Genomic DNA, 21,404 nt, shown 5'->3' on the forward strand with positions numbered 1-21,404 from the left:
TGTACAAGATTCTATGTACTCAGTAAAAGACATCTATGATTGCATTAAAACCTCATAACACTGAGAAGTGTGTTTGCACCTCCTCTTACAAATGAACAATTTATGTTAGGAGAGATTAGGTAACTCACCCAAAACAAAATAGCAAGAAGAAGACAGAGACAGGATTGGGTTTGGAGATCCAGCTAAACTGAGGACACTAGAATTGGGAAAATTGCTGTAAGAGAGGCTCGTGAGAGAAGGAGGTTGGTAGGAGAAATTACAGATTTGGGAAATTAAGAGTGATTTCACCTAATTTTGCAGCAAAACAACTAATATTTAGGTCCCCCTTTAAAATAAACTCATTTATGAGTTCATTCAAATTATGTAAACGGCCTGTGGCTCATACCCTAGACTGGGCTATCTGTGAGTATTCAACTGCATAAATCCGTTTAAATGCCATCACATGCAAAGAAACACTGTTCCTTCCAAGAGACCAGATTTAGCCATAATTTCATTTCATTCACTCATTTGTGCAGTTACACATTTACTCTTTCAAATATTTGATTTTCCAGTAAATGTCAGACACTGGGGCTATAGAACCAAAGGTGTCATGCTCTGTCCCAGACCTGGAGGAACATCCAACCTTACTAGAAGCAGTAGTCAAGAGAATAGACCCAGACAAACACAGAGCCATACCCACGTGTCTCCAATCCTAACATCTCTTCTGTGCATTAAAGGTCAGCTCAACAAAATCCAACTCTTGGAAAGTCTTTGTGAAGTGTAAACACTTGCAAAACTCTCTCTTCCACACATTGTTAAGCCAACTGAATCATTTAACCACAGGTTCTCAGGATGATTTCCTGGTAAGTTAGAATATCTTTTTAAGCATCAATCAGTTTCTCTCAGTCTTCTCTCAACTAGAAATTATGGCATTAATTAAAAAGAGGAAAATCAATGGAAAACATGTGTGTTCCTTTACATCAATTCACTAGCCATTAAAGTTACTTTTCAGCTTATTCAATGAGAAATAAAAACCTATCACAAAATTAAAAAAATTGATTATATATGTGGAAAGAGTTTTTTTTTGTCTGTTCATTTTGTTTTCTTCAATAATCTTAAAGCTTTTCAGGATAAGAAAAATTTAGGTTTCAAGTTGCCTCAACTCTAAATCTGAACTTGTGAAATTCAATTTTCCTCTAAATCACAGGCCCAACTCCTTTCCATTCCCTTTAAGACAGGGATAAAATGATTAAGTAAACCCCTAAACTTAAGGGTTTGCTGTCATGACATTTTTCCTGAGGTAAGGGCAAAAAATGTGAAAAAGAGTATAAGTCCTTAATTGTATGCACAGTCAGGAGACAAAACATTGTATAAATGTAAGTTGGCCGATACTTTGGTTACTTTTCTTGCCTTCTGAAAATGCAATAAAACTGCACTAAAGAAGCAAAGGGGAGAAATGGCTTCTTGCATACAAATTTCTCACTTTCCAAAGACTGGCCAGAAAATCAGCTGTTTTTATCTGTGTTCATATCTCTCAACCATTTAGATACTTATTATATTCTTCATAACCTTGACGATATTTCATAAGAAACAGAAATGCTAACAAAGAAACTTAAACAAATTAAATGGAACCTACTCTTTGACATGCAAATGTGTTTTAGTTTTGCCCCGCTAGGTCGTATGTTTCATTATGATTAAAAATGTCAAACAATATTTCGCCTGCTGGGAGTGTAGGTTTTACTTCTACTTTTCAATCTTACTCAAACCTCCTTACTGAATAATTTATGAGGTACAGCAGCCTTTGGTTGCTTTTCTAAAATTACAAACTATGAACCCCATGGTGGCATTTTGCTAAATGGTTTTGCACATATTGGCTTTTGAACATTTACAGAATAAAAGTACACAATAAGAATATCTTTTAGATGATTATTCTCTTATGTGCAACTTTCAGGAAAGAAAATAATCTGGCTACATCAATAGAGCAACTGAGTGAGTCAAATCTTCTGTCTACTCAATTCATGAGTTTGTCTTTCATTTTGGGTGATGTAATCCTCAAATACTTATCAGTCTCTCTCATTCCTCACTAACACTCTTCCCCTCAACCTACCTTTTGCTGAAAAACTCATTGATTAGGAGTTATGTGGAGAGCACTTACTAGCTGAAAGCCAAAGTAGTATATTGAAGCCACCTGCTTTCTCTCTAACTACTTCCTCTGGTGTTCTGTGAGCTTAAATGAGCTTGCCAGGGGTGTTTTCAGTGTGCCAAGGTCACTGGAAAAATAATTCCCTTTGTAATATGAAATACTTAAAGGGCACTCATGAGAGAAATGGAACAACCTATTTGGGGAAATCAAGACGGTTGGGGACACTGAGGTTTTACAACTGGGGTTTTAAATAGGTATGTTTTGTTCAATAACTTTTTAGAATAATAGACTACCATGGTCGTATGTTCTTGTCCATCCAAAACAGCAGTTGAGAAGATCTAGTGAGATAATATACGCTTAATGTAGGTCCCATCCCATGGAAAATGTCCAGTATGTTTGTATTAATTTTCCCTTTATGTGAGAGTCACTGTAAACATGCCAAGGGGAACAGGGCTTTCTTTAGGAGGAACTCTGTATTAGAAAACTTACTTTAAAAAAAGGAAGATGAGAATTTTAGCATCATAGCCATGATTGACAAACGGGAGACTCTACTTTATACCCATTAGGATGGCTATAATCAAAAAGAGCCAAAATTAAAAAGTGATGCTGAATATGGGAAGAAATTGAAACTCATATACATTGCTAGTAGGACTATAAAATGATGTGGTCACTTTAGAAAACAGCTTGGCAGTTTCTCAAAATGTTAGATATAGAGTTCCTCTATGACCCAGCAATTTCACTTCTAGGTATATAATCAAGAGCACTGGGAGATATACCTAATGCTAAATGACGAGTTAATGGGTGCAGCACACCAACATGGCACATGTATACATATGTAACAAACCTGCATTTGTGCATATGTACCCTAAAACTTAAAGTATAATAATAAAATAAAAATTAAAAAAAGAGTAATGAAAACATATGTCCACACAAAAACTTGTACAGGAATATTTATAACAGCACTATTCATAATAACCAAAAAGTAGAAACAACCCAAATGTTTATCAACTGATGACTGGATAAACAAAACGGTATATTCATATGACAGAGGATTATTTGGCCATTTGAAAATAATGAAATGCTGATAAATGCTACGACATGGATGAACTTTGAAAACATCATGATAAATAAAAAGTCCAGATACCAAAGACGACATATTATTTGATTCTATTTGTATGAAATGTCCAGAATAGGAAAATTTGTAAAGACAGAGGATGCCTGATTGGTTGCTTCAGACTGGGGGATGGAACGTGACTGCAAATGGTACAGGGGTTTTCTGTTGGGTGATGAGAATGTTCTAAAATTATTGGTGATGGTTGCACAACTCAGTGAATATATTAAAATCACTGAATTGTGCACTTTAAAGGGATGAATTTTATAGTATGTGAATTATATCTTAATAAATACCTTAAAAAATAATAATTAGATAAGAACCAATTCACAGGGTCCCAGAATGGGAGATATTACATACATGTGCTGTGGTATCTTATACATTAAAGTAGTATATCAATTTGAAAAGTAATTTTTTCTATCAAAAGTCAAATCAGGCCAAATTAAAGACGTTTAGTTTATTGCACATATAAAAGAACAGTTTGAGAACTGAAAAACTACGAACTGAAAAGTGGTAAGAAGCCTGCTAACAGCAGTTACGCAGTTACAGATCACAGCGAATAAGGGAGAATGTATTTTGACCTTTTTAAAAAATACATTAGCATTGTGTGTTACATATTAGCATTCTTTTTTTTTTTTTTTTGAGATAGAGTCTCATTCTGTCACCCAGGCTAGCATGTAGCATGCAAGAGCAAGATCATAGCTCACTGCAGTCTCAACTTCCCAGGTTCAAAGAATTCTCTCACCTCAGGCTCCAGAGTAGATGGGACTAGAGCACCAATCACCATGCCTGGCTAATTTTGTTGATTGACATGGAGTCTCACTGTGTTGCCCAGGCTAGTTGTGAACTCCTGGGCTCAAGTGATCCTCCCATTTTGGCCTCCCAAAGTGCTGGGATTACAGGCATGAGCCAATGCACCAAGTCCATTAAGCATTCTTTTTTAGGTAAGCCGACTGTTTAAGCTGCTCTGTCTATAGCTGACTGTCTTAATTTCACTGAATCATGCTTATAAGAACTTATAACTTCCTTTTTTTATTTCATTTATGATTAGAGCTGGCATTCCAGTGAAATCAGAATGACTTATGTTTTGGTTACCTGGTTTAGAGCAGTTGGCCTTGGGGTATATCCAAACTATGGCCTCCATTTTTTCTTTAATTTTTAAATTTTTTATTATACTTTAAGTTCTGGGATACATGTGCAGAATGTGCAGGTTTGTTACACAGGTATACATGTGCCATGGTTGTTTGCTGCACCCATCAACCCATCTACATTAGGTATTTCTCCTAATGCTATCCCTTGCCTAGCACCCCCACCCTCCAACAGGCACCTGTGTGTGATGTTACCCTCTCTGTGTTCATGCATTCTCATTGTTCAACTCCCACTTATGAATGAGAAGATGCAGTGTTTGTTTTTCTGTTCCTGTGTTAGTTTGCTGAGAATGAAGGTTTCCAGCTTCATCCATGTCCCCGCAAAGGACATGAACTCATTCTTTTTTATGGCTAACGCTCCTTTCTCTGTATAATACATCTTGAGACAGTCTTAAGAATCTACCTTGGAGAAAGTGTCACAACAAACTACTATGTCTCTCCAAATACTGACTTTGACCTCTTTCAAATGGTCAGAACTGAGTACTTGATAACCTTTCATGCTCAGCATGAGGACCTGAGGAACCTCAATGAGTATTAGAGTGTGGATCTGCAAGACCAAGTTCAGTGACAGACAGAGCTCATTCTGTGCTTCTCACTTTTTCTTGTGTCTCAGGATCAACTCCCTGGCGTGTGACCCAGATAAAGAAAGTTTATTCTCTTTAGAGAAACAGAGAGAGGAAGAGGAGAAGGAGAAGGAGGAAGAGGAGAAGGAGAAGGAGGAAGAGGAGAAGGAGGAGGAGGAGAAGGGAGGAAGAGGGTAGGCAAGGGACAGAGAGGGAGAGGGAGGAGGAGGGTTGGCAAGGGAGGGAAAAGCAGAAGGGAAGGGAGGAGAAATGAGAAGAAAGAAAGAAACAATGAAGGGAGGGAGGAAGAAAAGGAGCCGTTGCATTCACACAGTGGTAGTAGCCACCTTCTTCTTGTTTTGTTTTGTGTTGTTTTATTTTCTTTATCTTTAGCTTTTAGTAGAAGAAAACTGAAGGCGTGTTTTTCTTTCACTCTCACCTTTTACTCTTTCTATTCCCATCTCCCATCAACCTGGTACGACTTATCTCTTGTAGTTCCAGAGTCTGGTACCTTTATGCTGACTGGACTCTAACATGATAGCTGGTTGTGGAGAACATACAGGCATGGTTCCTGTAAGCCTCCCATCACCCTGTCACAAAGTACTTACTGTGTATTTTTACTACTTTGGGGAAAATTCATTAGCAAAGGATTGTTGCTGCAAAGTCTGGAAATTATGTCTTTCTGTGCATTCAAGATAACCTCAAATGCTGCAAGAACCCAAACATTGATAAAAATAACAATGAAACTAAACACCCATTTAACATTTATCATATACAAGACTTTGTTCTGTGTTTTCTGTTTATTAACTCAACTAATTCTCATACAGCCTTATGACATGGATACATATTCATTTCTATTTTACAGATAAGAAAGTTGAAGCTTAGCAAAGTAAAAGACCAAGGTCACACAGTGATAAAGCAGGATTTGAACCTAGGCAGTCTGATCCTAGAATCTGGGGTCTTTGCTCCTGAGCTAGCAGTGCCCCAGCCTGACTGTGCAAATTATCATTAATTGAGAAATTTTGTAGATGATTAATGCCAGGATTATTCTCCCAATTTAATAAGACTTTCTGGAACCCTACGCATAAGTCAATTTTTAAAAGCTTCCTCAGGTGATGATAATGGGTAATAAAGGTTAAAAGCCATTGCTGTGAACTGAATCACCTAAATGAAGAAAGTTTGTCCTTTACAATTATTTTAATTATTTTGTTTTAATAAAGGCAAAGTCTCAGTTTGGAGCTATTATGTCAAGTTAGGTTTGATAACATTATTTTATTTTCACTGTATTTATTGTATTTATTTTTACAGTTATTATCTATATGTAGCAGATAAGAAATATATAGATGTATACAGATATATTGTTAAATATAGATATATGAAACAAAGATAGGGCAAATATTGAAAATAAACTTAGTTTAGTGAGCTAAACTAAGGTGGTTCATAGTGGGAGAATTAAGAGCAATAACATCAAAATGCAGAACTGGACGTAGAAACCCTGAAATCAGATACTAATGTGCCTCTAATCCTCAATCAGCCCCTTTGCACCTCTGGACATCAGTCTTTAATGCCAAGTGGACACCCAAAGTGATCCACTTCGAGTTTCCACTTGAATGGTCTGCTATTTAACTTCTTCACGGCTATGTAACACAGAGTGGGTGCTCAATTGTTAGTGAATTTAAGAAAAAAAAAAAAAGCGAGAGAGAGAGAGAGAAAAAAAAAAGGCCAGTGGGAAGATAGGAAGGAAAGATAAAAAGTTAAGGAATAACTTCACAAAATATATCGCCTTTCTCAGGGAATATATATATATATATATATATATAGAGAGAGAGAGAGAGAGAGAGAGAGAGAGAGAGAGAAAGGCATATATATATATATGTGTGTGTGTATATATATGAGAAAGGCATATATATAGATAGATAAATAGAGATATCTCTCTCTCTATATATATATATATACATATAGATATAGATAGATAGAGAGAGAGAGAGAGAGAGAGAGAGAGAGAGAGAGAGAGAGAAATCAGTACATTAGGCCAGAAGAATAAATCTTTATGTGGAATTTCAGTCACCAAGGATAAGTAGGTGATGAAAATAATTTTAAAAGAGTTTCCTAATAGCCCTCAGATGGCCCCAGGTTGAATGACTTGCCTTTTTCAGGCATTTTCTTTTTTCTGCCTCTTCTCTAGCTAAACGAATATACAATCTCTGCTTTCATTCTCACCCAGCATTAACATGACACTAGTAAGTACTATTCTGACAACCCAGGATTTGCCTCTACTTTGAGGAAGTTAATGCTCTGGTATAGCCACAATCTTGATTTCTGAAGGCAGAAAATACGTCTGGAGGTCTTAGCAAACTCACAGCTTAGACTCAACCCTGACTTTCAACTCACCCCTTCCCCAGCCAAAGCCCTTGGATCATAGAGCATGGATAGAGGCCTATGGCGTTTTCTTCCCAGTCCTCAGCAGACATATTACATCAGGAGTGGTCTGTTGTGTTTACAGCTGGTAACACTGGCTCCAGTAAGGCTGAAGGCAGAGAAAGAAGGTTGAAAGCTGTTGTAGTATCCAGCCAAGAAATATAGCAGGTGACAAATCTTTTAATGTGTGAGTATGCATGTGTGTGCTGATGTACGTAGGAGGTGGAGGTGTAGGCAGAGTGACATATTGTGAAAATAAATAAATGTATGATCAACAGGAGTCAGTGATTAATTTAGAAAGAAGGAGGAGAAAAGAGGGTTTCTTAGTTGATTTTATACTATTATGACAGAATGTCTAAGACACACTTATAAAGAACAAAAATTTATTTTTTTAAACCTACAAATTTATTTTCTCATAATTCTGGAGGCTGGGAAGTCCAAGATCAAGGCACCATCAGATTCTGTTGGTGAGGAATACTCTGCTTCCAAGATGACACCTTGAAAGCTGAGTCATCCAGACAAAAGGAATGCCATGTCTTTACACAGTAGAAGGCAAAAAGGGAAAAGGGGACCCATTCTGTGTCCTCACATGGAAGAAAGCAGAAGGGCAAAAGGGATGAACTTCCTCCATCTAGCCCTTTTATAAAGTTGCCTAATCTCATTCACGAAGGCAGAGCCACACCATTCAAAGGCCATGCCTCATGGTACTATTGAACTGGGAACTAGGTTTGAGCATGAATTTTGGAGATGACAAAAACATTCAAGCCATAGCAGAAGGTCTCTGGCCTGAATAGCCAAGGAGATGGTGATGTCACTAATGAGATGATGAATCCTAAGAAGGAGGTGTTTTGAGGAGCTCCCTGGAAAGCTCCATGAATCAGAGGAGGCTGTAGGATTTTGGGCTGAGAGTGAGCTGCAGCAGTTAAAAATTCCACGTGGAGATAGCCTTTTAAAACCAGCCATTTTAATTCAAAATAGCAAAAACATAGGATTCAAAGCAGGAACATGGAAGGAATACATGACATGACATATGAAATGAAGACCTTTCATAAGCACAGCCAATAAGAAGAGGAAGAGACTAAGGTGAAGGAAAGAGAAAAAAAATCAATAAAGAAATACAATTTTCCGCAACTGTCACTCTAGCCAGGAAGGCCCATGGAAACGAATTTTGATTAAGTGCAGTAATCCTCTGAAGCAAAATGAGTCACTGACCCCTACTATTAGGTTGGTGCAAAAGTAATTGCAGTTTTTGTCATTATTTTTACCTGGCAAAAACTGCAATTATTTTTGCACCAACCTAATAGAAGCTGGTTTTCTCTGAATCTATCAACTTCAGATGAACAATTTTATGGTAGAATATAATGAGTTTGAGATGATTTGTTTAAATGCCACGTGAATCACTATTCAATGATTTGAGGCATCATCTCAGACCACCTCCCATCTCCAAGCTGTCATAAACCACCCTATCGTATGGCAGAGTTTAGCTTTTAAATCACATCCAGAGGGGTTTGCACAAATGCAGACCAATACCTTAAAGATTACTCTGATGTTTACATGTGAACTTAGTAGTGTGCCTAGTTGGACATGATGTGAGGGCAAGAGAAATAGGCCCATCTATTCTGCAGGATTTGAAAAGAGGTAGAGCTGCTGAGATTGAACAAGTGTTTTGGGCCAACTAGAAATTCAAATGTCAAGTAAGCTGTAATGGCAGGCCCTAAAATAGCAACTCTGACCATAGATGGAAGGACAGTCAAATGAGAATAGTACTAAAAGTGCAATTGAACATTTACTAGACTTCATAGCAACATTTGCACCACAGAGAAAAGTCAGCATCAGCATCCTAAAGCAAAACGCTCATGACACATGAATTAAGAATGTTTGTCACAGCCAGGTGCCAATGACTAAAGTCTGCAACAGAAAAAGAGAATGAGCAAATACAAGGTAAATCATTTTTATCAGGGAGATAGCCTGCTTAAAGTTATAAATGGTCATTATTAAAAGGGGCTTTGTGTGTCCTCACTTGTATATTAATTTCATACATTTCACAGCAGGAACCCAATTAGTTTCTACTTCTATAGTTAATCAAAAATATTAGGTAATTAAATTAACTTTCACAATACAGTCTAACCATGTTCCTAATACAATAATATACTGAATGTTCTCCTCTCACTCAATGTATCACTTTACTGTACGTTCTTTTCTTCTGTAGACATTAACTGGGTTTCATATTTATTTGCAACGTTTTGAAAGCCCTGCTTAATGATAAGCTGAGTATTTTTCCTTAAATTGAAATTTGTTGAATGTTATTCAAATCATCCAACCATAAAATGAAAATGAAATTATATCTGTGGAGATCAGCTTGAACCACTTTCATATCTTTACTAAAATAACATCCAGGTAGCATTTTTAACTTTCCTAACAACATATATACCAAAGCATAATTTGTTACATTTCAGCATCATATGAAGTTATAAACAAAACATTCAAGACTACAGTTAACTGGTTCTCCTTTGAAACCTTATAAGTGAATTCATTATCTCCAATAATGTTATTGTCATCTCAGTTATCTTTCTAAATTGCATTTCTTTTAAGGATAAAGAGAAAACTAAATCACTTCGGCTTACTGTTAGTATAAGGTAGAAGGCAGTGATTCACTGCAAACTTGGTCAGTAAAGAGGCTCAATTTCCAATACTGTTTTGACTGGCACCAAATAAGTGCAAGAGAAGAGATTGTTTCACAGGGCTAATACATGTATCATACCCTCACGATACAAATCTGATATACTATCACGAATCACTAGCTTTCCTTCTGCTGAGCTAATCTTTTTATTTTTATTTTTTTTTTTTTTGAGACAGAATCTCACTCTGTTGCCCAGGCTGGAGTGCAGTGGTGCAGTGGCGCGATCTGGCTCACTGCAACTTCTGCCTCCTGGGTTCAAGCAATTCTCCTGCCTCAAACTTTCCAACAGCCGGGACTATAGGTGCCCACCACCATGCCCAATTAATGTTTGTATTTTTAGTAGAGAAGGGGTTTCACCATGTTGGCCAGGATGGTCTCCATCTCTTGACCTTGTGATCTTCCTGCCTTAGCCTCCCAAAGTGCTGGGAAACTAATCTTTTTTACTCCTAATCATATATATGATGGTGCTCCATGTTGACAGATAGTGTAAGAAAAGCCAACCTTAAGAACTATTTTTCAAATCCTTCAGAGGGTAAATCAACTTATTTTCCCAAGAATTTTTTTCAAGATTTTTTTCAAGGGCACAAATGATTGTGAATGGTCTAACATAGTTTTCCCAAATTGGTCCATATCAATCTGCCTATTTGCAGAAAGATAAGTAAATGGCAAGATATTTACATATGGCAAGATGGCAGAAATAGAAATAAAACAAGGACAAGAGATCAAGACAGAGTGACAGACAAGAAACTAAACCTTGACAGGGACATGGAAATGTATGTACATAAGTGAATAACTTGTCCCCTTAGTTCCATTCTTCCATTTTTAGCTTAGTTCCATGGGCAGGACAAGAATTATGGAGAAAGAATGGAGTTTGAATCTTGGCCAATCACATATTAACTATGTCTTTAGGCAAGTCACTTAACTTCTCTGAGACTCATGTTTCCCATCTATACAAAAAGACATACAGCTAGTTCACAGGGTAATTATGAAAATAAGCAGAAAATGCAGAAAATGTAGCCTTGCATAGAAGCAATATAGGTCCTGGCCCCACTTTCTCTCAACAAATATGTATTATCATATTTTTAAACATAGCTCTTTCAAAACGCCTTTCGTGGTACTGGTAGTGAAGGTACTGAGTTTATTTCTCAAGCACGGGTACAAGATTACCTTCAAAACAATTTAGCTCTATTTCCAGACCATGTCCACTTCTAATACTATGCTTGCTCCATCTTCTGCCTGCTTCCCAATGATTCTGGGTTTGTTGTTTATGTAACATGATTATGATTTGTCAGAGAGGATTTGTGGTAGGGGTGTGAACCTTCTATATGAGCATCTGTCTGGCTTGAATCAGAATAGCGAACAACATACAGATGGTCTTCCTGGAGTGGTTTATTACATTCATTACCTGAACATCACACAGCAGTTTTCCACAGTTGGCTAACACCACTCATGCTCCCCATCTCTCTAATGTGTATTACACATGTTCATAATAGCATTCACTGGCCTTAAACTAGTTTTTTTTCAGCGCGTTTTTTTTTTCAAATATTTCCTTGTCCCTGTAAGTGTTCTTAAAAGTCACTTTCAGTGTTTAATTTTTTACCTTTTTTCACTTGGCCTAGTATAACCATGTTTCACTCTGCTATATAGTCTGTCTAGCCATTAAATGGCTGCTTGTTATTTCTTCTAATGAATAAACTGTGGCTTACTTCACCATTTTCCTGTTGTTGAACTTCTGAAGCTATTCTAATGGTTTCAGAAATTAAATAATGTGGGACTGAATATCCTTACTCACCACTGCACTCCAGCCTGGGTGACAGAGCAAGACTCCATCTCAAGAAAAAAAAAAAAGGTCATAAAAGCAATAAGAATTACGGGGGAAAATGGGATTAGTGGCCTGACACTCAAAAACTTCATTAGTGGTTGGGGGGTGGGGGTGGGAAAGATAGGAGCATTCAAAAAGGATAGTAGCACAGTTTTGCATATATAAAATAGTTAAGAAATACATAATCCTTAATAAATGTGACACTTTAAGAGAGCTGAAGTTTGCTTGTGGAAGCAGTCACTTGAAGGGTGTAGCTTGTGAGTAAAGTAGTAGAAGGAGTGTTGTCTGAAATCAGACAGAAAGTTATTACACCAGATGTGCATGAATGTGGCTCAAAACACACCTGCAGTGAACTGAGGTAGCTTATAGGTGTTGGAGGTGTATGCATGTATGCTTGTTTTGTATATTTCTACAGAGTCTGTTCAGCTTGGTGAAGCTTTCTAAGTTCACGTAGTATTTCACATGAACAAAAATATGCATAGGCAAACACAAAATTTGTGTTGTGCTCAAATCAGTCCCTAGTATATCAGTTATTAGAAGAAATTCATGTTTTTAAAATATAATATTATCACAGAAATGACTGCATATACTTCATCCTCAGAATATATATATACACACACTGCATTGGATGGAGCATGGGCCTGACAAAACATTCTCAAGTGAGCCTGCTTTTCTTATGCAATTAACCAATACCCATTTTAAGAAAGCCAGCATTGTTTACTTTTCAAGAAGTAGATGGGATTAATGAATCACTAATTTCAGATTTGATTAAGTTGACTTGGTTGGAATCAGTTAGAGACCAGATAAATTGTAACGCCATCTATTTTTAATTTTGAATCTCTTTGATTAAGGCAAATTTATTTTGCAAATTAGATTTTATTCCACATTATGTAAAATTGACGCCCTTTCCAAGATGGTACTTATGTCACTGAAGTGGGGCAAAGTCTGAAAAGAAATACATTGGGTAGGAACCATCCTGAGCATTATATTTTTCTTCAAGGGTTCAATACCAGCTCGACAGCCATGTGTTTAAAACCAATTGTCAGGAGCCAAATCTCAGAGTGGCCAGTGCTCTATGAGACCCCCAGTCCTGATCCAAATTTTCTCATCTGAAGTTCCCTCTCCCACACTCATTTTAGAAATGGGATGTTCTTACTGAACAGCTACCTTTTTTAAATTATTATTATTATTTCTGGCTACATTATTTGTCTATGATTTTATTTATCCAGGGTTTTCTTATTTTTTAATTATAGTATATAATATATACATAGTTGAAATAGCAAATTGTATTTATGGGTTTATCAGCCGTGACAATAACAACAGAAACATGGAGAAAAATAAAATACTGCATTGTGACTTCACCCTCTCCCACCAGAACAGAATCTTTCTATCATCATTCTCGCCAATCCCCTAGGCAACAGCGGAGGTATGCTGGGAGATTTCCATATAAGGGTGGGTCTTACTTAAGCTATTAAATAGAGAGGGAGGAACAGGAGCAATAGTCTTTATCTGGAATAAGCAGCACTGCACATATTATTTTTTCCCTCCTCGTTTCATTCCTGGAGCCAGCCTGAGACAAATACACAGCAGAGCCTGCACAGTCCCTACCCCTCACTCTTGGTTTCACTTCCCTGCCCACCAACCCATGTGCCTGCTACCTTTCTTCATATACCTCACAAATCCCTTGTGCCTTAGCCCCACTTCTGTCCTGCTAAGCTTTTAATATTCTGTTTCCCCTCATTTTCTGTATCTCAGCCTTGTCTCAAGTCTTGACACCAAGAAGTGAATGACTGTTAACAACTGTGTTAGAGATAGGATTGCTTAGTGGTTAGCCCAGGACACTTGGGTTTCTGTCCGATCTTTGCAATTTTACTATGGCCTTGGGGAAGTTACTTCACTTTTCTGAGCTTCAGTTACACCATATCCAAAATTAATAAAATAACATTTCGTGATTGCTTTGAGCATAAAATAAGCGATGTCAAAACCTGGCATATAATAAGTATAGAACAAATACTTTCACATCCCTTGTAATTACATTCTTTGGCAAAGAAGAAACACTAAGAATTTAGGTATTAAAAGGTTAATCCTGGCCAGGCACAGTGGCTCACGCCTATAATCCCAGCACTTTGGGAGGCCGAGGCGGGCGGATCACCTGAGGTCAGGAGTTTGAGACAAGACTGGCCAACATGGCAAAACCCCGTCTCTACTAAAAATACAAAAATTAGCTGGGCATGATGGTGGGCACCTGTAATCTCAGCTACTTGGGAGGCTGAGGCAGGAAGAATTGCTTGAACCTGGGAAGGCAGAGGTTGCAGTGAGCCGAGATTGTATCATTGCACTCCAGCCTGGGTGACAGAGCGAGACTCTGTCTCGAAAAAAAAAAAAAAAAGAAAAGAAAAGAAAAGGTTAGTCCTACCCTCTGTAATACAAGTATGTCTCAAGGACAAAGGAAAAAGTTAATTGATGGTTGGGACAGGTTCCAAGACCTTTGCTTTAAAGATTTCAGGTAGTCTTTCAGATAAGATGTGATGTGGCCCATACATAAACCCTGAGACTGATTCAAAAAGACACAAAATCCTGACTCTGCTCTTATTAGTTGCCTGGGACAAGTTACTTAGTCTTTCTATGCTTTGCCTGTAAAATAGTGACGATAAAAATACCTATTTCATGTTGTGTGTGTGTGTGTGTGTGTGTACATGCCTAAATGTATGTTGTAGATAATTAAATAATGTATTTAAAGTCCTTAGGCCAGAGTCTGGTATGTATCAATACGTATTTTCATATTTATTATTTTGATGATGATGATAAAGATAATGATATCATGAAGCATAAAAAATTACCAAGACTTCAAACAGGCTTAAGATGTCTTGAAAACATCATGAAAGAGCCTATTTCTGCAACTGCTGTAGACGTTTAACCAGACCATTAATATTGATGTATAACATGCTGTGTGAATTTATTTCTCTGTCCAAGGATAACCAGATCCATCAACTGTCAACACAACATTAAATGCTTTGAAAGGTTGTCAGAATAATTCTCTGAGTAAAATGCTTACTGAACTTTCTTTCATTTTAGTGCTTCAGGTAGTAACGGCGCCAACATAAATTTAGTCATGGATAACTTCAAATATTTACGATGGTCCCCTGAGACACCACCTGAAATGAAGTCTCAGGTAAATGACATTATAGAGGACAAAAATGTTAACTGTTTACAATAGCTTTTTAAAAAGCAGTTAATCTTTAAGGAAGGCACAGGGAATATTTCCAAAGCAGACTGATTATTGGAGTAGATAAATACTAATTGCAAATAAAAACTAGAGATTTTTTTCTGTCCACCTTCAGGATCCTGTGTTTCCTGCACAGTCCACAAAGCACGATGTTGAGTCACCTGCTCTCAGAGTCCATGACAGGTCTGTACAAAACCCCTAACAGATAAATCAAGCCCAACCTCCCTGTCTTGTGGATTATTTGAGAATAGAACTGGAAAAATATGTCAATAGGATAAATACATTGCATTTAAATCATTCTCTCCACCTTAACTAAATAAGTGTTTTGCCTACTAAATATATCTGTTAAATAGATTGAATTATTTGTTTCCTAAGTTGACTTTCTAAATTATATTTTTCTCCTCATGAAAATATATATGCAAATTGGGCAATTATTTATGTTGAATATTCTCTTCACATACCTGGCACATTCTCAAACCTCAGAGAAAATCTTCCATTTGAGGTAATGTTCTAGCCTCTGTGCCTAGAGATACAATTCCCTTATCTGTTACCACCCAATTCTCTGCCTGGCCTAGAGGCAGACATCATCTGTTGTAGAACAATCCATATGTAGGTCTTAGAGCTATATTAGCCCTGTTCACACATAATATTTCCCATAGATAGCATTATGTTTTCATTATGACTTTATTTACTTCTAGAAAATAAAAGCATACATACAAAACATCATTATGTGATGTACAAACTTAATATTGTAGTACAAATAATAACTTGGAAACTTATCTGCTTCTTCTCAGCAGGTAAGCAATACTAGTCCAATGCCAACAAGCCACTTGTTCCTCCCAGCACAAATTTTAACCACCTTCCACCCTGTATTAGTCTGTTCTCACATTGCTATAAAGAACTACCTGAGACTGGGTAATTTATAAAGAAAAGAGGTTTAACTGACTCACAGTTCTGCAGGATATACATGAAGCATGGCTGAGGAAACCTCAGGAAATTTACAATCATGGTGGAATGCAAAGGGCATGTCTTACATGGCCAGAGTAGGAGGCAGAAAGATCAGGGGGAAATACTACACCCTTTTAAAGAAACAGATCTTGTGAGAACTCACTCACTATCATGAAAACGGCAAGGGGGGGATATCTGTCCCCATGATCTAATCACCCGCCACCAGGCCACTGCTCCAACATTGGGGATTATAATTCTACATGATATTTGGGTGGAGACACAACTCCAAACCATGTCTTTCTGTCCCGAGCCCCTTCCAAATCTCATGTCTTTTTCACATGTCAAAATATAATCATTCTTTCTCAACGGTTCCCCAAAGTTTTAACTCATTCCAGCATTAACTCAAAAGTCCAAAATGTCACCTGAGACAAAGCTAGTCCGTTTCCCCTGTGAACCTATAAAATAAAAAACAAGGGTCGGGCACAGTGGCTTATGCCTGTAATCCCAGCACTTTGGGAGGCCAAGACAGATGGATCATTAGGTCAGGAGTTCGAGACCATCCTGGCCAACATGGTGAAACACCATCTCTAGTAAAAACACACACACACAAAAATTAGCTGGGTGTGGTGGCACGGACCTGTATTCCCAGCTACTTGGAAGGCTGAGGCAGGAGAATCGCTTGAACTTGGGAGGCAGAGATTGCAGTGAGCTGAGATTGTGCCACTGCACTCCAGCCTGTAACAGAGCAAGACTCTGTCTCAAAAACAAAAAAACAAAAACAAAAAAACACAATTTCATTACTTCCAAGATACAATGGGGCTAGAGGCATGGGGTAAATACTCCCTTTCCAAAAGGGAGAAATTGGCCAAAACAAAGGGGCTACAGGGCCCATATAATTCCAAAATCCAGCAGGGCAGTCATTAAATAAAGCTCCAAAATAATCTCCTTTAAGTCCGTGTCTCACACAGGCCACAGTGACACAAGGGTTGGGCTCCCAAGGCTTTGAACAGCTCTGCTGCTGTGGCTCTTCGGGGTACAGCCCCTGAGGCTGCTTTCACAGGCTGGCATTGAGTGTCTGTGGCTTTTCCAGGTGCATGGTGCAAGTTGTCAGTGTATCTACCATTCTGGGGTCTGGAGGACAGTGGCCTTCTTCTCACAGCCCCACTAGGCAGCCTAATAGTGGGAGCTCTGTGTGGGGGCTCCAACCCACATTTCCCCTCTGCACTGCCCTAGTAGAGGTTCTACATGACAGCTTCACCCCTGCAGCAGCTTCTGCCTGGATATTCAGCTGTTTACATTCATCCACTGAAATCTAGTCAGTGGCTCCTCATATGGTTTGGCTGTGTCTCCCACTTAAGTCTCATCTTGAATCTTTTTCTTTATAAATTACCCAGTTTCAGGTATGTCTTCATCAGCAGTGTGAAAATGGGCTAATAGAGTAAGTTGGTACCAGTAGAGTGGGGCACTGCTGTAAAGATTCCCAAAAATGTGGAAGTGACTTTGGATCTGTGTAACAGGCAGAGGTTGGAACAGTTTGGAGGGCTCAGAAGAAGACGGGAACATGTGGGAAAGCTGGGAACTTGTTGAATGGCTTTGACTGAAATGCTGATAATGATATGAACAATGAAATCCAGGTTGAGGTGGTCTCAGATGGTGATGAGGAATTTGTTGGGAACTGAAGTAAAGGTGACTCTTGCTATGCAAAGAGACTGATGGTATTTTGCCCCACCCTAGAGATCTATGGAACTTTGAACTAGAGGGAGTTGATTTAGGGTATCTGGCAAAAGAACATTCTAAGCAGCAAAGCATTCAAGAGGTGACTTGGGTGCTGTTAAAAGCATTCAGTTATAAAAGGGAAACAGCATAAAATTTCAAAAAATTTGTAGCCTGAAAATGCAATTATAAAAGAAAAAAAAATTTCCTGAGTAAAAATTCAAGCCAGCTGCAGAAATTTGCATAAATAACAAGGAGCCAAATGTTAATGACCAAGAAAATAGGAAAGATGTCTCCAGCGCATGTCAGAGACCATTGCCATAGGCCCTCCTATCACAGGCCTGGAGGCCTAGGAGAAAAAATGGTCTCATGGGCGTGGCCCAGGGCCCCCCTGCTGTGTGCAGCCTAGGGACTTCGTTCCTTGAGTTCCAGCCACTCTAGCCATGGCTAAAAGAGGCCAAGGTACAACTCAGGCTTGGCTTCAGAGGTTGCTAGCCTCAAGCCTTGGCAGCTCCCATGTGCTGTTGAGCCTGCAGGTACACAGAAGTCAAGAACTGAGGTTTGAGAACCCATCCTAGACTTCAGAGGATGTATGAAAAAGCCTGGATGTCCAGGCAGAAGTTTGCTGCAGGAGCAGGGCCCTCATGGAGAACCTCTGCTAGGCAGTGTGGAAGGAAAATATGGGGTCAGAGCCTCCACACAGAGTCTCCACTGGGACAGTGCCTAGTGGAGCTGTGAGAAGAAGGCCGCCATCCTATAAACCCCAGAATCATAGATCCACTGACAGATTGCACTGTGTGCCTGGAAAAGCCACAGACACTCAATGCCAGCCCATGAAAGAAGCTGGGAAGGAGGCTGTACCCTGAAAAGACACAGGGCCAAAGGCCCAAGTCCATTGGAACCCATCTCTTACATCAGTGTGATCTGGATGTAAGACATGGAGTCAAAGGAGATCATTTGGGAGCTTTAAGATTTGTCTGCTCTTGATTTTGGAGTTGCATGTAACCTTTAGCCCCAGGTTTGGCCAATTTCTCCCATTTGGAATGGGTGTATTTATCCAATGCCTGTACCACCATTGTGTCTAGGAAATAACTAACTTGCTTTTGATTTTACAGGCTCACAGGGAGAAGGGACTTGCCTTGTCTCAGATGAGACCTTGGACTGTAGACTTTTGAGTTAATGCTGAAGGAATGATTGGTTTTGAAATATGAGGACATGAGATTCGGGAGGGGCCAAAGGCAGAATGATATGGTTTGGCTATGTCCCCACCCAAATCTCATCTTAAATTGCAGCTCTCTTAATTCCCATGTGTTTTAGGAGGGACCCAGTGGGAGATAATTGAATCATGGGGGTGGTTCCCCTCACACTGTTCTCATGGTAGTGAATAAGTCTCATGAGATCTGATGGTTTTACAAGGGGAAACCTCTTTCACTTGGCTCTCATTCTCTCTTGTTTGCTGTCATGTAAGACATGCTTTCACCTTCTGCCATGATTGTGAAGCCTCCCCAGCCACATGGAACTGTGAGTCCATTAAATATCTTTTTCTTTAAAAATTACCCAGTCTTGGGTATGTCTTTACCAGCAGTATGAAAACAAACTACTACAGATCCCAAGCTACAACTCTTGCCTTCTCTCTACCCACAGGCCTAACACTATGTGGAAGCCACCTAAGCTTTTGCCTTGCACCCTCTGAAGCAACAGCTCAAGCTATACATTGGTCCCTTTTAGCCACTGCTGGAGCTGGAACAGCCATGATAGAGGGTGCCATGTCCTGATGCTGCACAGAGCAGTGGGCCCTGGGCCTGGCCCATGAAACTGTTCTTCCCTCCTCGCTCTCTGGGCCTGTGATGGAAGGGCCTGCCACGAAGGTCTCTGAAATGCCTTCAAGGCATTTTTCCCATTATCTTAGTTGTCAACATTTGGCTCCTCATCACTTGTGCAAATTTCTGCAGCTTTCTAGAATTCCTCCCCACAAAATGGGTTTTCTTTTCTCCCATATGACCAGGCTGCACATTTTTCAAACTTGTATGCTCTGCTTCCCTTTTAAAAATAAGTTTCAATTTTATATCATTTTTGACTTACAAATTTGAGCATAGGATGCTAGAAGCACCCAGGCCACATCTTGATTGTATTGCTGCTTAGAAATTTCTTCCTTCAGATACTCTAAATCATCTCTCTCAAGTTCAAAGTTCCACAGATCTGTAGCATGGAAGCACAATGCCTCCAACCTCTTTGCTAATGCATAACAAAGTGGCCTCTGCTCCAGTTCCCAGTAAGTTCTTCATCTTCATCTAAAACCACCTTAGCATGGATTTCATTGTGCATATCACTATCAGCACTTTAATTACAACAAATTAACAAGTCTCTAAGAAATTCCAAACTTTCTCTCATCTCCTTTCTTCTTCTGAGCTCTCCAAACTGTTCAAACCTCTGCCCATTATCCAGTTCCAAAGCTGCATCTACATTTTCAGGTATCTTTAGAGCAATGCCCCACTATCTGTACCAATTTAGTTTATTCTCACATTGCTATAAAGATACCTGAGATTGGGTCATTTAAAATGAAAATATGTCTAATTGACTCCTAGTTTTTCAGGCTGTACAGGAAGCATGGCTGGGGGGCCCCAGGAAACTTACAATCATAATAGAAGGCAAAGGGCTCATCTTATATGGCAGAGCAGGAGGAATAGAGAATAGGGGGAGGTGGCACACACTTTTAAACCACCAGATATCATGAGAACTCACTCGCTCTCATGAGAACAGCAAGGGAGGAATCCACCCCCATAATCTAATCACCTTCCAACAGGCCCATCCTCCAACCTTGGGGATTACAATATGACAAGATATTTGGGTCAGGACAAAAACCCAAACCATGTCATACCCCATCTGCCTTTGTAGGTTAGTAGAGGGGTAATAGGGAAAGGAGGCAACACCACATCCATGAACTGAGAACTGACAACCTTGACAATAGTTATCTATTGTCTTGGTTAGCATCATAAGATGTTTTGTGTGGACAAAAAGGATTTGATGTTTGAGATACAAAAGGGAAGCATTAAACAAAAGTGGTATTTAGCACCCAGACTGAGACTCATGCGGGTTCTCTGTAATGATAATACTACAGGTTGACCAGTGGCTACAAGTCAGAGATCAAGCTGAAGCAGTGTTGGTTTCTTTTGAAGGCTGTGAGTAAAGGATCTGTTTCAGGCCTCTTCCTTGGCTTGCAGAGGTCTGTCTTCTCACCGGGTCTCTTCATTTTGTCTTTTTTTTCTGTGTGTGTCTCTCTGTCTGAATTCTCCTTTTTTATGTATACCAGTCATGTTGGCTTGTGGTTCATTTTAATGACCTCACCTTGACTTCCTCTGTAAAGATACTGTCTCCAAAGGTCACACTCTTAGGTACTTAGAGTTAGCACATCAGCATATGAATTTTACAAGGGACACAATTCAAACCATAAAACATGTACAGGAGCATTCATCACATAATTGTTGTGAGTGTTGTCAGCTAATACTCCACAGGAGCCTCCTACCTCTGAGAACTGCTTTCAACCAGAAGCTGCTTTGCCTGCATATTTATTCTCTATCACTGAGAGATTAGTAGGCCACAGATAAATATTGGCTGACTTGTGGGTATAAAAGTCCTGCCTCCTTCCTCCAGAT

The 21,404-nt window shown here is 39.0% G+C and overlaps 1 long non-coding RNA gene across 1 annotated transcript in view, besides 1 other annotated feature; it reads left to right on the forward strand.

The window, feature by feature from the left end:
* Positions 6,129-6,298: an enhancer, noted in NCBI's record as "experimental_9735 CRE fragment used in MPRA reporter constructs". NCBI's record gives its function as "activates a minimal promoter by MPRAs in K562 erythroleukemia cells, with activity observed for both the introgressed and non-introgressed 10:110461234 variant alleles {active_cell/tissue: K562}" and the evidence as "EXISTENCE:reporter gene assay evidence [ECO:0000049][PMID:34662402]".
* LINC02661 (long intergenic non-protein coding RNA 2661) overlaps positions 13,277-21,404 on the forward strand; it is a 132,148-nt gene continuing 124,020 nt past the window's right edge. Inside the window, exons 1-2 of the long non-coding RNA NR_187538.1 lie at positions 13,277-13,316; positions 15,206-15,273. This is a non-coding gene — a long non-coding RNA (long intergenic non-protein coding RNA 2661). The remainder of the gene's footprint in view (positions 13,317-15,205; positions 15,274-21,404) is intronic.

The sequence above is a fragment of the Homo sapiens genome, chromosome 10 (genome assembly GCF_000001405.40).
Source record: "Homo sapiens chromosome 10, GRCh38.p14 Primary Assembly".
Lineage (NCBI taxonomy): Eukaryota > Metazoa > Chordata > Mammalia > Primates > Hominidae > Homo > Homo sapiens.